General features: G+C 43.9%; 2 long non-coding RNA genes across 2 annotated transcripts in view, besides 2 other annotated features; one reads left to right on the forward strand and one right to left on the reverse strand.

Moving 5' to 3' along the window:
• Nucleotides 37-116: a silencer, noted in NCBI's record as "silent region_5660". NCBI's record gives its function as "represses an Ori minimal core promoter by ATAC-STARR-seq in GM12878 lymphoblastoid cells {active_cell/tissue: GM12878}" and the evidence as "EXISTENCE:reporter gene assay evidence [ECO:0000049][PMID:35858748]".
• Nucleotides 7,776-18,454, reverse strand: part of LOC102724945 (uncharacterized) — a 244,858-nt gene continuing 234,179 nt past the window's right edge. Inside the window, exon 9 of the long non-coding RNA XR_001750942.2 lies at nucleotides 7,776-8,051. This is a non-coding gene — a long non-coding RNA (uncharacterized LOC102724945). The remainder of the gene's footprint in view (nucleotides 8,052-18,454) is intronic.
• On the forward strand, nucleotides 7,987-13,054 carry LOC105370446 (uncharacterized). Its single transcript, XR_943737.2, has 2 exons — nucleotides 7,987-8,072; nucleotides 12,874-13,054. It is a non-coding gene; the product is annotated as an uncharacterized LOC105370446 (long non-coding RNA).
• Nucleotides 12,810-13,311: an enhancer, noted in NCBI's record as "H3K27ac hESC enhancer chr14:34433111-34433612 (GRCh37/hg19 assembly coordinates)". NCBI's record gives its function as "activates a minimal SCP1, AML or CMV promoter by ChIP-STARR-seq in primed H9 embryonic stem cells {active_cell/tissue: H9 hESC(primed)}" and the evidence as "EXISTENCE:reporter gene assay evidence [ECO:0000049][PMID:30033119]".

Here is an 18,454-nt window from a genome sequence, read left to right on the forward strand (position 1 = left end):
CGGCCCTTAAGCCGGCCGACTCCGCGCGTCACGGGCTCCGCCCCGGGACCGCCTCCGGGACCGCCCTTTCCCCCGCCCCGCTGCCAGTCACCCCCGCCTGCTCTGCCCCTCCGCGAAGGATCCCAGAGAGCCCGGCGCCAACCTTAGTTGTTTGTGACCAGGGGAGCGGCTGGAAAGCAGACTGAATTTTTAGAATGCGCTGGATTTGCATATTGTTTTGCATAAAATCACATAACAAACTTGAAAACCTGGATCCCACACTGAAAATGTAAATAGAATTAACTGCCACATTCTGGGTTGGTCACCTCATAGACTTTTGAGCAAAATAATAACCCCAAAAACGAATATATTTATTAAGCAGTGGTCTTGTTCTACCTTTACCGGGTGTCTTTCCTTATTTACCCCATTCCTCTGCTGTTTGACCCAGTTCAAGCCACTGAGAGATTAGGAGGTATCTAGTTTTAACTAAAATTAATGCATTAACGAATATTTCCCTCAGCCCCTACTGTGTGCAAGGCACTATGTGCTTGAGGAGCTGGGGATGAGCACAATGAAGAAATGCTGAGTCATATCTGATTGAACTCTGCAAATGGTGTATTTTGCTTTGCTTGATGTTTTCCTCTACTTACCTTTCAAGCTTCCTATTAAAATATGATGTTCCGAAATTCTACCTTCCAAATTAATCACATGCTTCTGTAACAGTCAGAGGTATGTCCCCCAAAAGATACACTGTATTCTAGGTCTCTCACTTTTCCCACAAGCAGCTGTACTTTCACAAGAGGGACAGACACCACTGAGAAGACTTTGGTTATCTACAGATAAGCTGATTTGCTTTATGGAGTTTTGATTCCCTTTCCTACTGAACACCAGCGATCAGAATCAGGAAAAAATTCATAAATTGCATGCAAAGCTATTTGTACTTCTTTAAAAAAAAAAAAAAAGGAACTGTATTTTTTTTATTTATTTATTCTGAGACGGAGTTTTGCTCTTGTTGCCTGGGCTGGAGTGCAGTGGTGTGATCTCTGCTCACCACAACCTCCGCATCCCAGGTTCAAGCAATTCTCCTGCCTCAGGCTCCCAAGTAGCTGGGATTACAGGCGCCCGCCACCATGCCTGGCTAATTTTGTATTTTTAGTAGAGGTGAGGTTTCTCCACATTGGTCAGACTGGTCTCGAACTCCCGACCTCAGGTGATCCGCCCGCCTCGCCCTCCCAAAGTGCTCGGATTACAGGCGTGAGCCACCGTGCCCGGCCTATTTGCACCTTTTTTACTTCATATGAGTGCACACTTGGGTTCTTCATTTAAGTTGAAGAAAAGAATGTACAGGTTTTTCGGGTATTGTTTATTGTGGAAGCAAATTTCTACAGCTTTTTCACTTTTCTTCTTCCTCCAGCAGCCCTCTCCTCTCTGCCTCTGAGGGGAGAAAGGGAATGACATCCAGGACAAGAACAAAGAATAGAAGAGGAAAGGTGCTGCTACAAGTTGGAAAGAAGCAGACAGAGGCACGTGGTTGAGTAAGAACCTGGGGGATGGTGAAGGAGAGCAGTCAATGGTGGAGTGCTTAAGAAACTTTGATGAAACTTCTAGTTATATTGAGAGAGGTTCTCTGCCAAGTCAGTGATTAGTTGGCACCTTTGGTATTACCTTTGAGCAGGAGGTACCCCTCCTTGGGGTAAAGGCCATCACTGCTCAAAGAGCTCTTGTCTAAATTCCCAAGGCAGCTCCATGATGAGAGGAGACCATCATCCTTGGAACCCCAGTGTTTAGCACATAGTGAATGGCTAATAAATAGTTACTGGGAACTCAATGTCTGACCCTGAGCCATAGCAGCCTCCACTTGGGATTCAGTATGTCTGGGCTTATCTGGAAGGATCTATTTGCAAAAGGGGCTGGGGAGCCTCCCCAAAGAGAAGTCACTGGAAAAGAGTCAAGCAAATTAGCCTGACCCAGCACAAAAGCTTAGAGGCCAGTGGAGGGAGAACTTAGGAGTTCTACAGGGCATTTGTCTCTCAGCTTTGTCTATCTGAGCAGTGGACATTTGAGTGGTGGGAGCCAGAGACATAAAGTGAAAACTGGAGGACTGTTAAATTGCAGCAAAGGGCCAGGCACAGTGGCTCACACCTGTAATCCCAGCACTTTGGGAGGCCGAGGTGGGCAGATCACCTGAGGTCAGGAGTTTGAGACCAGCCTGGCCAACGTGGTGAAACCCCGCCTCAACTAAAAATACAAAAATTAGCCACACATGGTGGCAGGCATCTGTAATCCCAGCTACTCGGGAGGCTGAGGCAAGAGAATCACTTGAACCCAGCAGGTGGAGGTTGCAGTGAGCTGAGATTATGCCACTGCACTCTTGCCTGGGTGACAAAAGTGAAATTTAGCCTTAAAAAAAAAAAATTGCAGCAAGGAGTGAAATGGAGTGCAGTACCAAAAAGGAGGAAAGCCCTCCTCTCTACTTCTGCTTGAACCCTGCACAGAAGGAACTGCTTTGCCTCCTGCAGTGATCTCCTCCAGGGGCACTATGGATAATGGGGTGACCAGGAGAAACCTGGTCTAAGACAGCCTGAATGTAGACCCTGGTTGGCATTGGGTCGTGCATTTTGCAGCTTTGGGGACTGTGTAAATCTCAGAAGTAGATATCCCTGAAGAGGGACAGAATCAAAAAGGGGGAAGGTGACAGATAATCCTTAGTAACTAGCTGAAATGTTTCTAGCTGGAGGCTTTTTGTAGATACACCTTATTCCTAGGAACGATAAGGAGGGAATTTACAAAGGAATGGAAACCTGCAATCACTGGTAGAGGGGTGGTGGTCAGTAAAATACAGAAAATTATACAACCACCTTCCAGAATGAACATGTTGACCCAAGACTTCAAATCCCAGGAGTGGGTAAATTTAGTTTACTGTTCAAATAATATTTCAATAATTTCACAGTAAAATTGTAACTCGTTATAACTAGAGCAATAGTCTAAGTGAGTCCTAGTGACAACTGTTCTAGATTATGTTGGTTGTAAAGCATGGGCAGTTTAGAAAGGAATTCAATCCCTTGGCACCATCCCTGCTTGGCAAGGGCACTCATTAATCAATCAAGGACCTCCCGATCAGCTTAGGGCTGCCAGCACTGCATTTGGCAGAGGAATCAGAGATACTGTGACTGGCAAAAATCAGAGTGTGTGATTGCACGGAGGAACACAGACAGGCTGGAGCCAGGCACAGGCTGTGGGTCTGAGCATCAGAGAGGGAAAACCCAAGCTAATTGTTAAAGTGCATTTGCTTTAGTTATTTGTCCACTAATTTGTGTCATAATAATGAATATTAAAATACCTTTCCATAATAACTAAAGCAAATTAATTTCCCTGTAATTTAATTACAGCAACATTGTCTTCCAGTGTGCATCTGCAGTATAGATGCAGTCATTTTCAAGCATGTGGAGGAGTAGGGGAGAAAGAAAAATGTTGAGTTTTCTTACCTTTGAATTTGAACTGGAAGAGATATTAGTGGTCACCTAGTTCAACTTCATTTTCCTACAGATGACGAAACCAAAGAGTCTCAGTTGAGTGGAAGAGGAAGCATGGGATGCTTCTGCCTTCTCAACTGTAACACTGTCCTATTTATATATGTATGCATTTTGACTTTAACGAGGTAAAATTCACAAAACATAAAATTTACGATTTTATAATGAACAATTCAGTGGCATTTACTACATTCGCGATGTTATGAAACCACCACCTCTCTCTAGTTCCAAAACATTTTCACCACCCCAAAAGAAAACTGTGCCTATTAAGCAGTTATTCCCCATTGCCTCCTCTCCCAAGCCCCTAGCAACCATCAATCTGCCTTCTCTATGGATTTGCCCATTCTAGATATTTCCTAATAATGGAATCATATAACCTGTGACCTTTTGTGACTGGCTTCTTTCACTTAGCATGATGTTTTGTACCATTTACCAAGATTTTATTTCTTTTTATGGCTGAATGATAATTCCACTACGTAGATATACCACAATTTGTTTATCCAGTCATCCACTGATGAGTATTTGGGTTGTTTCCACTTTTTGGCTATTATAATAGTGCTGTTATTAACATGCATGCATAAGTATGTTGAGTACCTGTTTTCAATTCTTTGGAGAATAGACCTAGGCATACAGTTTTGGGGGCATATGGTAATTTTATAACTCTTTCTTTTTTTTTTTTTTTTTTTTTGAGATGGAGTTTTGCCCTTGTCGCCTAGGCTACAGTGCAATGGCGCAATCTCGGCTCGCTGCAACCTCGACCTCCCGGATTCAAGCGATTCTCCTGCCTCAGCCTCCCAAGTAACTGGGATTACAGGCACCTACCACCACACCCAGCCAATTGTTTGTTTGTTTGTTTGTTTGTTTTGAGACAGAGTTTCGCTCTTGTCACCCAGGCTAGAGTGCAATGGCACCATCTCGGCTCACCGCAACCTCCGCCTCCTGCGTTCAAGCGATTCTTCTGCCTCAGCCTCCCAAGTAGCTGGGATTACAGGTGCCCGCCACCATGCCCACCTAATTTTTGTATTTTTAGTAGAGATGGGGTTTCACCACGTTGGCTAGACTGGTCTCAAACTCCTGACCTCAAGTGATCCACCCGCCTTGGCCTCTCAAAGTGCTGGGATTACAGGCATGAGCTACTGCGCCCGGCCTATGTTTAACTTTTTGGAAAACCACCAAACTGTTTTCCACAATAGGTGTACCATTTTACATTTCCAACAGAAATATGGGAAGGTTCCATCGTGTCCTTTTTTATTTCTGATGAAAAATGTCTACATGTCTTCTTTTCCATCAAAGTACTGCCATACCTGAGGTTCTCTTCCTCCTAGCTGGTATCTGAATATTTTGTGTGTGTGTTTTTACCATCCTATATCATCAGAAGGTTTATCATTATTTTGCATGACTTCACTGTGAGCAAAGGCAACCTTATTTATTGATCCATTAAACATTTTTGCAACACTTAGTACTGTGCTAAAAGTTTACAAACATTACTTCAATTAATTCTTATAACACCACCAGGAAATCGGTACTATTCTTCTTCTCCATTATGAAGATGACAAAAGTGAGAAATAAAGAGGCTAAGGAACTTGCCCAAGGTCACTCTGCAAGAGAATAACAATGTAGGACAAAATTTGAGAGATTCAAATGTAGTAACATGGGGGTGTGGAGGGAGAATCATTTTGAGCCAAGTGTCTGGCATGAAACTGTTTCTGCCCTTAAGTACTCTTTTTCTTGTTGTAACTCTAGTTAGAACACTTTCACCTGTAATGACTATTTTAATTATTGGTTTCTTTACTGATATTTGGTGCAGAAGGGAGATAAGCAAAACTTCCCATAAATTATTTAGTACACTACATTAAGAGTCATTTTCCAAACTACAAATTAGGTTTTGCTCTTTGCTCCATTCCAATTATGGCCAAGGATTTCCAGGGATCAACATAAATTCAGTGATGCACAGGTCTGTGGAGAACAGTTGGGAATAAGCTGCCCCTCAATTGCTGGAGTGTGTGTTCCACCCCTCGGGATGCAGGAATGAATTTATTTTAGTGGAGCTGATGAAGTAAGAAGAAGCTTATGAAGTAAATTTATGGTCTGGAGCTCACTGGTATAAAGTGGGTTTAGAAAAGGAAGGATCTGATTATGTCCCTCTCTCTCTGAGGAGTTGAGCTATCCTACCCCTTCTCAGCTCTAAAAGGATGGCAAAGAAAGTTACTTTCTCTATCAGTTCTTGTTTCTCAGCACGTAGACAAGTTTCAGCCTCTCTCATCTGCTCTTTGATCATTCTGGCCATGTGCAGATTCTGGGAAGTGTGACATTATCAGGAATGTTCTTTAATATTTTCCAACTCAGCTCTCATTTAAGCCGAAAATGTCTAAAAAGCCTTTGCATAGATCATAAAAAGTGTCAAATTGTGTCTATGAACAGTGTTCATTGCATCTTTTTTGGAGTAAACTTTTTATTTTAGAATACTTTTAGACTTACTGGCAAGTCGGGAAGGTGGATACACAGAGTGCCTCTATACCCCACACCCAGTTTCCCCTGTTGTTACCATCTGACATTAGTATAGTACATGTGTCCTAATTTACGAACCAATACTGATGCATTATTAACTAAAGTCCTGATTTTGTTCAGATTTGTTTTTTACCTAGTGGCCTTTTTCTTTTCCTGGATCCTGTTGAAGTTTGCAGAGGTAGAAGTAAGTCTGTAGGGTTTTTAGGGAAGTTTATACCAAATCAGTCTTCTTAGCCCTTTAGGCCTACAGAAACGGTTCTCGAGATCCCCAGGGTCCAAATGAATGGTTACCTACAGAACGTGCCTTCTTCCCTTCCTCAACAGTATATGTCAGTGGCTGAAGGTCGCTGGCACCGTTGCTGTGAGGCCCTCTTTCTACAGCCAGGGGTCTCTGGGGTTCAGGTAGCTGATCCCAATCTTTCCTGCTCCTGGCCTGGAAGTGGGAGTAGGTAGTGCTAGGCTCCACTGGCCCTAGACTTTCCAGTTCCGACAGACCTCTCTGCTTCTGTTCATATATTTACCTTCTCCCTCCCTCCAGAGAAAGAACCTGATTGCTCTAAGGCAGTGGGTCTCAAACTCTACTGGCCATTAGAATCACCTGGCAAGCTTGTTAAAACACAAAGTGCTATGCCTTACCCCTAGAGTTTCTGATTCAGTAGGTCTGGGATGGGGCCTGATAATTTGCATTTCTGACAAGTTTCCAGGAGCTGCTTCTGCTGGCCTCAGACCACATTTTGAGAACCACCATTCCAAGCCAATCAGTTTATGGCATTACCCTGCTAACTGTTAGTGGTCTAGAGGTGGGCAGGTGACCTGCACCAGCCAAATCTGGTGGTTGAAAGCCCTGGTTGTACCGTAGAATCACTTGGGAGCTTCTGAAAAATGACTCTCAGCTGGGCCCCACCCCAGATTAATAAATTAATATTTTTGAAGATAAAGCCTTAGGTATCTGCAGTTTGAAAAGAAAAAATAATGCTACATAATACGTTATTAAATAAACAAAATAAAAATAAAATAATAGCAATAAACAAATACAGTCATGCCTTACTTAACAAAGGGGATACGTTTGGAGAAATGCATCACTAAGCAATTTCCTTGTTGAGAACATCATAGAGTGCACTTACACAAACCTAGATGACATAGCCCACTATACCCCAGGCTCTGTGGTATGGCCTATAGCTCCTAGCCTACCAACCTGTACAACATATTACTGTAATGAATACTGTAGGCAACTGTAACACGATAGTATTTGTGTATCTAAACATCTCTAAACAGAGAAAAGGTACAGTTACAATACAGTACTGTATTATAATCTTATGGGACCACCATCCTACATGTGGTTCATTGTTGACCAAAATGTCATTATGCAGAGCATGACTGTAATGAATACAGCTCTAGCACTTTGGTGACTTCAATGTGCAACAGTACTGAGAACTACTGGCCTGCTTGAACTGAAGAGAATTGATATTAAAGGGAGAGGTCTCTCTCTTTCTTTCTCTTTCTTGCTGCACATGAAGAAAGGAAACAGGCAGCCCAGTGGCCTCTGGCAGCCGTCACATCCCCATGAAGGGAGCCAGTCTCAGGATGCAGCCGACATGGAGGAAGGCAGAGCAGAGTACTGAAAGAACTTGGGACCTTGGTGACATTACTGAGCTGCCTTATCTTACTGTCCCTGGAGCCTGTCCTACCTCTGGACTTCCAGTTATGTGAGATAATACATTTCCTTATTTGTAAAGCCAAATTAAGTCACAGCTTTCAGCTACTAGCAATCAAAAGCATTCTAACAGATAACACGAAAGAAATCTGTGGTCATCCCATAGCCATAATGAACAGTCCCTACCCTTAAAGACACTTTGCCTGGGTGTCTTGCGTTCTGCACATTCCGGAGGACCAGCTTCCTCATCAGAAGTCTGACTCCATGGAAACCAGATGGGGCAACGGGGTGGTTCTAGTGCAGACTGTAGCTGCAGCTCCTCTCCACCTCTAGCCTGCTCATTTCCAGCTCAGAAATTCTACTAATGGCGTTTTTTCTTCCTGAAAAAGGAAATGAACAGGGTAAGACCTGACATTTTACCTTATAGTTAAAATCAATAGTTTTCTTCTTTTACCTAAGCAAACAATCACATAATAGTCAATTTGGAGGTTACAATTGTATTATTCACAAATGGTTTCCTTAAATTGCAAATTTGTCTTCAGACAATGCCTTTCTTAATATTTATAATAGGAAAATGTTTGTAGAACATAAATAACACTGGAAGCTAGTTGGAACAAAGTAAATGTCCAGCCAATGTTTTATTGTATGCATCTAGTATAATGGGTTATGAGATGGAATATAAAGTAAGAGTCCGTGTGTGTGAGACAGAGAGAGAGACGTGCCAAGATGTTATTAATGGTTGTTTCTGAGTAAGTGGGAATATGGACCTTCTTATGTTCTGTTGTTTGTGTTTCTAATATTTTTCTAATGGGCACATATTGCTTTTGTTGAAAGAAAGAAAAAGAACTTTTTTAAGGATATGAGATTGTTTTGCCACTTAAAAATAATCTTTCACTCCTCCATGGGCTGGCCATTGGCTTGTTTGAGCTAAGTACCATTCCCAGCATCCTGCGCACTGCTTTGCTTGAGGTGGCTGAAATCCTGTGAACTACATTTCCCAGATTCCCTTGCCAGCTGGCCCACTTAGATGCTCCAATGGGAAGCACTGGTGGGAAGCTGCATGAAATGAGAGACCCATTTTTCTTGTTGTTGTTGTTGTTGTTTTGTTTTGTTCTTTGTTTTTAGGCTCTGGCAAGGGGTGCCGCAGTGACTTGCAGCTGCAGGGGCTCCAGTAGCCTTTAGCAGTTCCAGCAACCGCATCGGTGTCAGGCAGTGGCCAGCTCCAGCAGCATCAGCAGCTTCCTGCACTGTCAGATGCCAGACACTCCTGGGCTCTGATAACATCACCCCCTCCCTGGTATTCCTCCTGCCTTTCAAGTGGTAGTGATTTCCTGCAGATACTTATCTCTAGGTTAGCACATCTTCCCCTTTTGGTTCCTCCAAATTTCCCAACACTGCTAAGACTGATTTCTTATGTTAAATTCCTTCTATTTAAAAATACTAGAATGAGGCCGGGCGTGGTGGCTCATGCCTGTAATCTCAGCACTTTGGGAGGCCGAGGCGGGCAGATCACGTGAGGTCAGGAGTTTGAGACCAGCCTGGCCAACATGGTGAAACCCTGTCTCGGCCGGGCGCGGTGGCTCATGCCTGTAATCCCAGCACTTTGGGAGGCTGAGGTGGGCGGATCACGAGGTCATGAGATCGAGACCATCCTGGCTAACACGGTGAAACCCCGTCTCCACTGAAAACACACACACAAAAATTCTCCGGGCGTGGTGGCGGGCGCCTGTAGTCCCAGCTACTCCGGAGGCTGAGGCAGGAGAATGGCGTGAGCCCGGGAAGCGGAGCTTGCAGTGAGCTGAGATCGCACCACTGCACTCCAGCCTGGGCGACAGAGCAAGACTCCGTCTCAAAAAACAAACAAACAAAAAGAAACCCTGTCTCTACTAAAAATACAAAAATTAGCCGGGCATGGTGGCCCATGCCTGTAATCCCAGCTACTTGAGAGGCTGAGGTAGGAGACTCTCTTGAACCCAGGAGGCAGAGGTTGCAGCGAGCTGAGATCGTGCCATTGCACTCCAGCCTGGGCAACAAGAGCAAAACTCCATCTCAAAACAAAACAAAAGACATACTAGAATGATGTCTGTTTTCCCAACTGGACACTAACTGATATGCTCTCATATCCTCAATTTCTACATCAAAGTCACGAGCAAATCTTGTCAGTTCTACTGCCAAATTTAACTCCAACCTCTCCTCTTCCTCTTCTGTCCACAGCTATCACCAGTTCTGATCACCATCATTTCTCACTGCAACAGCCTTCTCTCAGATATCCCTACTTCTGCAGTTGCACCACGTCAATCCATTCTCTACATGGAAGCCACAGCCTTCTTCCTACAGGTTGGTGCAAAAGTAATTGCTGTTTTTGCCATTGAAAGTAATGGCGGCCGGGCGCGGTGGCTCACGCCTGTAATCCCAGCACTTTGGGAGGCCGAGGCGGGCGGATCCTGAGGTCAGGAGATCGAGACCATCCTGGCTAACACGGTGAAACCCTGTCTCTACTAAAAATACCAAAAAAATTAGCTGGGCGTGGTGGCGGGTACCTGTAGTCCCAGCTACTCAGGAAGCTGAGACAGGAGAATGGCGTGAACCCGGGAGGCGGAGGTTGCAGTGAGCCAAGATCGTGCCACTGCACTCCAGCCTGGGCGACAGAGCAAGACTCTGTCTCAAAAAAAAAAAAAGAAAAGAAAAGAAAAGAAAAAAAGAAAGTAATGGCAAAAACAGCAACTACTTTTGCACCAACCTAATAGGATGTCAGCATTGTCCATCTCAGCTCCTTGTTTATTTCCTACATAGTCCCTACTAAAACTTGACATTTTTGTTTGTCTGTTTGTTTAAATGGGTGTTTTATGTCTCTCTCCCATAGGAGTATGAGGGCAGGGACCTGTTCACCACAGTATTTCCAGTGCCCAGCACAGTGCCTGACACAAATCAGCTGTTCACTATATGCTAAATGAATACTCTGCATATTTAACTGTTTCCATATTCATGCATAGAAATGAAGAAAATTTGATTTAATTTCAGTAAAGTCTGTACTGTTAGATGCTTCGATTGCTGTGTTTCTCTAGAGAATAAGCCACAGGTTAATTAAAATCTTAAAAAGCAGGAATAAAAAAATAAACATTTTTGGAAAATAGACCAAGTGGATAAAAGATAAATAAAAAGCTGAAAACATTTTCTGAAGATGTCATAGCAAAATTTTCTACCAAGTCTAATTTGGCATAAATCCAAATTCTTCTGTTGACAAATTTGCTTTGACCTAAATTGATTTAACTCTATTAGCTAAAGTTGATGCAGTTCTCTAAACCGGTTTCTAAGTCACTTTTAAGGCTCTGTGAAGGACAACCAGAGATTTTCACTTACAATCAGATCAAGTTCTAGAAGCAGTTTTAGCTGTTGCTTTCTTCAGTTAGGCATCTGTTCCATTCATTCAGACAACAAATGTTTTCTTTCATTCTTTCCGTGTGCCAGGCACCGTACTCAGTGCCAGATGCACACACAAAGAAGACAGACAAGATCCCTGTGCTTCTGAGGACCACATGCAAAAGAAAGACAATAAACAAGGAAGTACATGAATGAGCACAACAATTTCAAGTTGTGATTGAATGCTGTGAGAAAGTGAAACAGCTAAATGCAATAGGTGTGGAGGGGTACCACCAAGTCTGTAGTGGGAGAAACTGCCTGAGAAGGCAACACTTGCCATGAGGCCAGAGTTACCAGGAGGAGCCAGCAGGGCCACGTTGAGACTTTAAAGGTCTTACATGCACATGAATGTTCATTGCAACACTATTCACAACAGCAAGGACATGGAATCAACCTAATTGCCCATCAATGACAGATTGGATAAAGAAAATGTGGTACCTATATACCATGGAATACTATGCAGCCATAAAAAAGAACAAGATCATGTATTTTGTGGGAACGTGGTTGGAGCTGAAGGCTATTATCCTTAGCAAACTAATGCAGCAACAGGAAACGAAATACCACATGTTCTCACTTATAAGTGGGAGCTAAATGATAAGAACTTACGAACACAAGAAGGAAACAACAGACACGGGTCTACTTGATGGGGGAGTGTGGGAGAAGGGAGAGGAGGAGAAAAGATAACTATTGGGTACTGGGCTTAATACCTGGGCGAGGACATAATATGTACAACAAATTCCTGTGACATGTGTTTACCTATGTAAAAAAACTTTCACATGTACCTCTAAACCTAAAATAAAAGTGTAAAACAATTATTTTTAAAGAGAGACTTTAGAGGTCTTAAACATGGTGATATTATAGTGTCTTCTCTCTCTTCTAACTCAAGTAATTAAAAATAAAAATAATCAACCAAGCCTTAAAATAAATGCAAACAGCTGTGCGTGGTGGCTCACACCTGTACTCCCAGCACTTTGGGAGGCCGAGGCTGGTGGATCATTTGAGGTCAGGAGTTTAAGACCAGGCTGGCCAACATGGTGAAACCCCATCTCTACTAAAAATACAAAAATTAGCCAGGCACAGTGGTGTAGCAGGACAACCCGCAGACAAAACTCCTCAGACACCAAGTTAAAGAAGGAAGGCGTTTATTGGGCCGGGGCTCAAGAGCCGAGTTCTCCGAGTGAGCAATTCCTGTCCCTTTTAAGGGCTCACAACTCTAAGGGGGTGCACGTGAGAGGGTCATGATCGATTGAGCAAGCAGGGAGTACGTGACTGGGGGATGCATGCACTGGTAATTGGATCGGAACAAAACAAGATAGGGATTTTCACAGTGCTTTTCTATACAATGTCTGTAATCTATAGATAACCAATTAGGTCAGGGGTCGATCTTTAACTACCAGGCCCAGGGTGTGGCACCGGGCTGTCTGCTTGTGGATTTCATTTCTGCATTTTAGTTTTTACTTTTTCTTTCTTTGGAGGCAGAAATTGGGCATAAGACAAAATGAGGGGTGGTCTCCTCCTTTAGTGGTGTGCCCCTGTAATCCCAATTACTCAGGAGGCTGAGGCAGGAGAATCGCTTGAGCCTGGGAGGCAGAGGTTGTAGTGAGCCAAGATCGCACCACTGCACTCCAGTCTGGGTGACAGAGTGAGACCCTATTTCAAAAAAAGAAAAAAAAAAAATTTCAAACAAGGTCAACACAATTCTGCTTTCTTCCCAATGGCAACTACTTGAATACTTTTATGATAATATCTAAAAACTCTTCTAAAATTATTTTCTTGTTTTAGGTCCCTGCTGATTCTCCAAATATGTGTCTAATCTGTTTACTGAGTTCCATAGCACTTGGAGCCATCCATGCAAAAATCTGTAGAAGAGCATTCCAGGAAGAGGGAAGAGCAAATGCAAAGACGGGCGTGAGAGCTTGGTGCATACAGCCATGGGCCAAATAAAGTTTCCTTGGAATAGCCATGCCTGTTCTTTCACATGTCATCTGTGGCTACTTTCACACTTGCATGACCCTGAGAGTGACTGATTGCCTTAAACTTTGTTTCTTTTATGGCCTCACTAGTGTAGCCAATCGCTGCCGCACAACAGCACAGCAGACACGGTATCAGGCAAAACCTAAAATATGTGGTCCATTACAGAAAAAATTTGCTGACCCCTGGGCTTGCTTATTTGTTTATTTATGAAGTGAGATTAGGAGCCATTGGAGACTTTTTAGCTGTGGAGGATGCAGGACTTCATTTTTATTGTTTAAAAGGTGGCGTTGGCCGTGGTGTAGAGAATGGATTTGGGGGTAAGGCACCACAGAGGCAAAGAGAACAGGATGATGCTTTGGTGCTAGCTGCTGGGGCTTGGAGTTGGGTGAGAGCTGTAAGCATCAAATCTTCTGAAGGGATCAACCCTCATGTAGTTACAACACGGGCTCATTTTTCTCTTGAAAGGGCTCTAAGAGTCCTTCACACAGTGTCCATCCAGCTCTTCTCAGTAGAGGGCTCACTCCCACAGGACTGCTGCCACTTTGCAAGCAATTGGTTGTCACCTATACTTCTGATCAACTGGCTATAAACCGGGGTTCCCACCACCCACTCCTCCAGTTTGATTAATTTGCTAGGATGGCTCACAGAACTCAATGAAGCACATTTCGTGAATAGCCAGATGAAGAGGTGGATGGGGCAGGGTATGGGGGAGGTGCTACCGAGCTCCCAAGTGCTCTCCAGGAACACCACCCTCCCAGCACCTATGCATGTTCAGTGACCCGGAAGCTCACTGAGGATTGTTCAAGAGTTTTTACAGAGCTTAATCTCTATCGCCCCTCTCCCTTTCCTGGAAGCTGGAGGGTGGGGCTGAAATATCCTACTCTCTAATCCTCTCCACACTTGGTCTTTCTGGTGACTGGCCCCACCCTGACTTATCTCATCAGCATAAACTCAGGTATGATCAAAAGGGGCCCATTATGAATAACAAAAGATGCTCTTATCACTCAAGAAATTCCAAGGGTTTTAGGAGCCTATAGCAGGTACTGGGGACAAGGATCAAATATATATACTTTTTCTTTTTACTTGGTATAATTAAGCAACTTTTATTTGGTGTTCTGTAAGAATTTATTTCTTATTATGCCACAAATACCTTTTGAGTCTTCCCATTGATTAGCCCTCTTATTTTAGAGGCCTTTGACAGTGTTTCTGCCAACTTTAGGCCTTAGGAAAAGCCTCTGAAACTTAAACTTTGGTATCCCATTCAGGTACCAGATGTCTTGAAAAGCCCCCTAGAGCCTCTGTAAGCCCTCAGAGCCACAAGGAACACACCATGGCTGCTGGTATTCATTCTTCAGCTTCTCATGGTGACAAGCTGGTGAAAACCCTGGGGAGCTAAGAGTGGGGGACTGGTGCTGAGACTACTCCTTGCCACCCCAACCTCACCCCAACCCACACTATGCCCCTGTTCCAAGGTCCTCATGGCAGGGCACACAGCCTTCTGGGCTTGGCAGATGCACCTACCCGTGTGGGCTTCCCTGCTCGAGCTCTGAGTCCTGATGTGAGGCAGGCATGTGCCCCTTTAGTGTGATCCCCAGCAACGCAGCCTCTTTTCTCTAACTTGAGTCAGCCGCCTTTCTGGTAGCTGGCACCTCATTCTGCCTCTACTTTTTTCTGCCAGTACAGTTGGCCCTCCATACCTGCGGGTTCCACATCCTCAGATTCGGCTGATCACAGATCAAAAATGTAGTTACACCTGCAATGGTTGCTTCTGTCCTGAACATATGCAGGCTTTTTTCTTGTCATCATTCCCAAAACAATACAACAACTATATACGTAATCTACAGGTGACTTAAAGTACACAGGAGGATGTACTTAGGTTATGTGAACCCACAAGTATCTGAGACAGGTCTCAATCAATTTAGAAAATTTACTTTGCCAAGGTTAAAGACACGCCCGTGACAGCCTCAGGAGGTCCTGAAGTCATGTGCCCAAGGTGGTTGGGGCACAGCTTGATTGTATACATTTTAGGAAGACATGAGCCATCAATCGGTACGTGTAAGATGTACATTGGTCCAGTCTAAAAAGATGGGACATCTCAAAGTGAGGGCTTCTAGGTCATAGGTAGATTAGGGACAAAAGGTTGCACTCTTTCGAGTTTTTGATCAGCTTTTCACTGAATACGCAATTTACATGTGAGAGTGGGGTGGCGGAATAGTCACTTATGGCTTAGTCTGGCTCAGTGAATCTGCATTTTTACATAAACAATAGGGAGGAGGAAGCAATCAGATATGCAGATATCGGGTGAGCAGAGAAATGACTTTTTAGTTCTGTCGGTTGTCTGTACCTGTTAAGATAAGTTATCAGTTTACATTGCCAGGGCAAAATTCAACAGAACCATTTTAGGGCAAAGAACTTGACGTCCACAAGGAATTTCCTTGTGAAGAAATTGTGAGGGAGGTGTGTAGCTTTTTATCTTTGTGGCTATCTTATTTAGGAATAAAATGAGAGGCAGGTTTGCCTGACTTCATTTGGCTTAGTGATTCTGGAGTCCTGAGATATGTTTTCCTTTCACAGTTATATGGAAATCCTACATGATCTTATATCAGGGTGTATTAGTCCATTCTCAAGCTGCAATAAAGAAATACCCGAGGCTGCGTAATTTGTAAAGAAAAGAAGTTTAGGCAGGCATGATGGCTCACACCTGTGATCCCAGCACTTTGGGAGGCCAAGGATGGCAGATCACCTGAGGTCAGGAGTTCAAGACAAGCCTGGCCAACATAGTGAAACCCCGTCTCTACCAAAAATACAAAAATTAGCCAGGTGTGGTGGCACATGCCTGTAGTCCCAGCTTCTAGGGAGGCTGAGGTAGGAGAATTGCTTGAACGGTGCGGGAAGAGGTTGCAGTGAGCTGAGATCGCTCCGCAGCACTCTGGCCTGGGCGACAGACTGAGACTCCCTCTCAAAAAAAAAAAAAAAAGAAAAAAGAAAGAAAGAAAGAAAAAGAAAAGAGGTTTAATTGACTCACAGTTCCACATGCCTGGGGAGGGATCACGAAATTTAAAATCATGGCAGAAGACAGCCCTTCACAGGGTGGCAGGAGACAAAATGAGTGCCAGCAGGGGAAATGCCAGACCTTTCTAAAACCGTCAGATCTCATGAGAAATCACTCACTATCACAAGAAAACGGCATGGGGAAAACCACCCCATGAATCACTTACCTCCCACTGGGTCCCTCTTACATTATGTGAAGATAATGGGGATTACAATTCAAGATGAAATTTGGGTGGGGACACAGCCATACCATATCACAGGGACTTGCGGATCCTCAGAGTTTGGTATCTGTAGGGGTCCTGGAAGCAATACCCCACAGATGCAGAGGGAAAAACGATTGGGAAAAAAAGTGGAGGGGGCTGCAGAGGGTAATGGAGGTTGCAGGGTCTGACAAAATTCCTTGACTGATCAGGAGTGGCTGGTTTCTGCCATATTTCTTTTGTTTATGCTCAATATAACTATATTCAAGGTTGAATTCAATTTTAAAGAAATAAGCCGCTTTCTCCCAAATCATTGTGGATTTGAATTGGAATCTTTAACGTGGGCACCCCCTGAAGGTGCCTTCACTTTATAAGTCTGAAGGCAAATCAGATGAAGGCAGAGCCTCAGAGGCACCACAAAATCATATTAATCACAAAACTCATATAAAATATTTTTAGCTATTTTTACTCATTAAAGAGAAGTCAGGAAGGGGAAGGAAGGAAGGAAGGGAAGCAAGCAGGCAGGAAGGAAAGAAGGAAGGGAGGGGGAAGAACGAAGGAAGGACTAAAACAAGGGTAGCCTAAAGCTGTCTCCTTACATATTTAAGTTCAGCCTAAAGGTTTTTCTGTATGTCATAAACTATACCAAGAAGAGGTGTAAACAGACTGTAGCCTACACTTGGGCCAATCACCGAGTTTTGGCCAATCAAATGTAACCAACTGCTCTGACCGTGTTCAAAAAAGGCAAACACTGAGCTGTAACCAATTCAGCTGTTTCTGTTCTGTACCTCACCTCCATTTTCTGTATGTCACTTTCCTTTTTTTGTCCACAAATCTTCTTCTACCACGTGGCTGTGCTGGAGTCTCTGAGCCTATTCTGGCTCAGAAGGCTTCCCGATTTGTAAATCATTCAGTGCTCAATTAAACTCCTTTAAATTTCATTTGGCTGAAGTTTGTTTTGTCTTGTTTTGTTTTGAGATGGAGTCTTGCTCTGTTGCCCAGGCTGGAGTGCAGTAGCGTGATCTTGGCTCACCGCAACCTCCACCTCCCAGGTTCAAGCAATTCTCCTGCCTCAGCCTCCTGAGTAGCTGGGATTACAGGCACATGCCACCACACCCAGCTAATTTTTGTATTTTTAGTAGAGATGGGGTTTCACCATGTCGGCCAGGCTAGTCTGGAACTCCTGGCTTCGGGTGATCCACCCGCCTTGGCCCCAGAAACTGCTGGGATTACAGGAGTGAGCCGTTGCACCTGGGCAAACTCAGCTGAAGTTTTTCTTTCATCAGAAGGAAGGAAAGAAGGAAGGAAGGAAAATTAGAAAAGTAAATGGAATCATGTCTTACTAAACACAGTGGCACTACTCTTAAGCCTGCCTCTCCATTTTCCAAATGTTCCATGGCTCACCTCCCTTGCTTTAAAAAAAAAAAAAGTGGTTAAAAAACCCCGCATAACTTCACTTCTTGATTTATGTGACTGTGATGCTTCCTGCTAGCCTGGTTTACTCCCCATTTGGCCTCCTCAAAATTTCTCCAAACCCTCCCAGCAGCAGCATCAATTTTGTCTGACAACTGGCAAAAAGGAAACACATAAAAAGTGAATACTCAGGCAATTTTTAAAAGATGAGAACTGTTTAGAGGCTGCTTGCCTCCAAGAAGACTGAGGAGCTTAGAGAATGATCTGGGAATGTCTTCAGTGTATTGCTATCTTCTTGATAAACGTGAGATGAAGAAGGGTAGCTGCATTTCAAATTAGAGATCAGAAAACCCAGGAAGAGGAAACGACTCTGGAGTTAGGATCCACCAGTCTGAGCTCCTTAGGGGCACTTCAAGGGCTGGACGAACTAGGCTAATAAAGGCAGGGAGTTGTGATTAAATGGATGAAGGACACCTGAACTTTGCCTGCAGCATTTAGTCTTCATGTGAAAGTGAGAGTGGTTTTGGAGCCTTAAGGAGAACAGGGTGGAGGGCTATGCAGGGTTGGGGACTCATGCATTGAACAGAGAAGTGGTGGATTTCAAAGTGGTGGAGCACATCATAATCACCTGTGGCACGTTTTTCAAACTCTCAGTTTTGTTCCATCCCTGTTCTCTATTGCACCCCACTGCCCATGTTCTCTTTTTTAGTTTTAGGTAAACAGTT

This window comes from Homo sapiens, chromosome 14 (genome assembly GCF_000001405.40).
Source record: "Homo sapiens chromosome 14, GRCh38.p14 Primary Assembly".
Classification (NCBI taxonomy): Eukaryota; Metazoa; Chordata; class Mammalia; order Primates; family Hominidae; genus Homo; species Homo sapiens.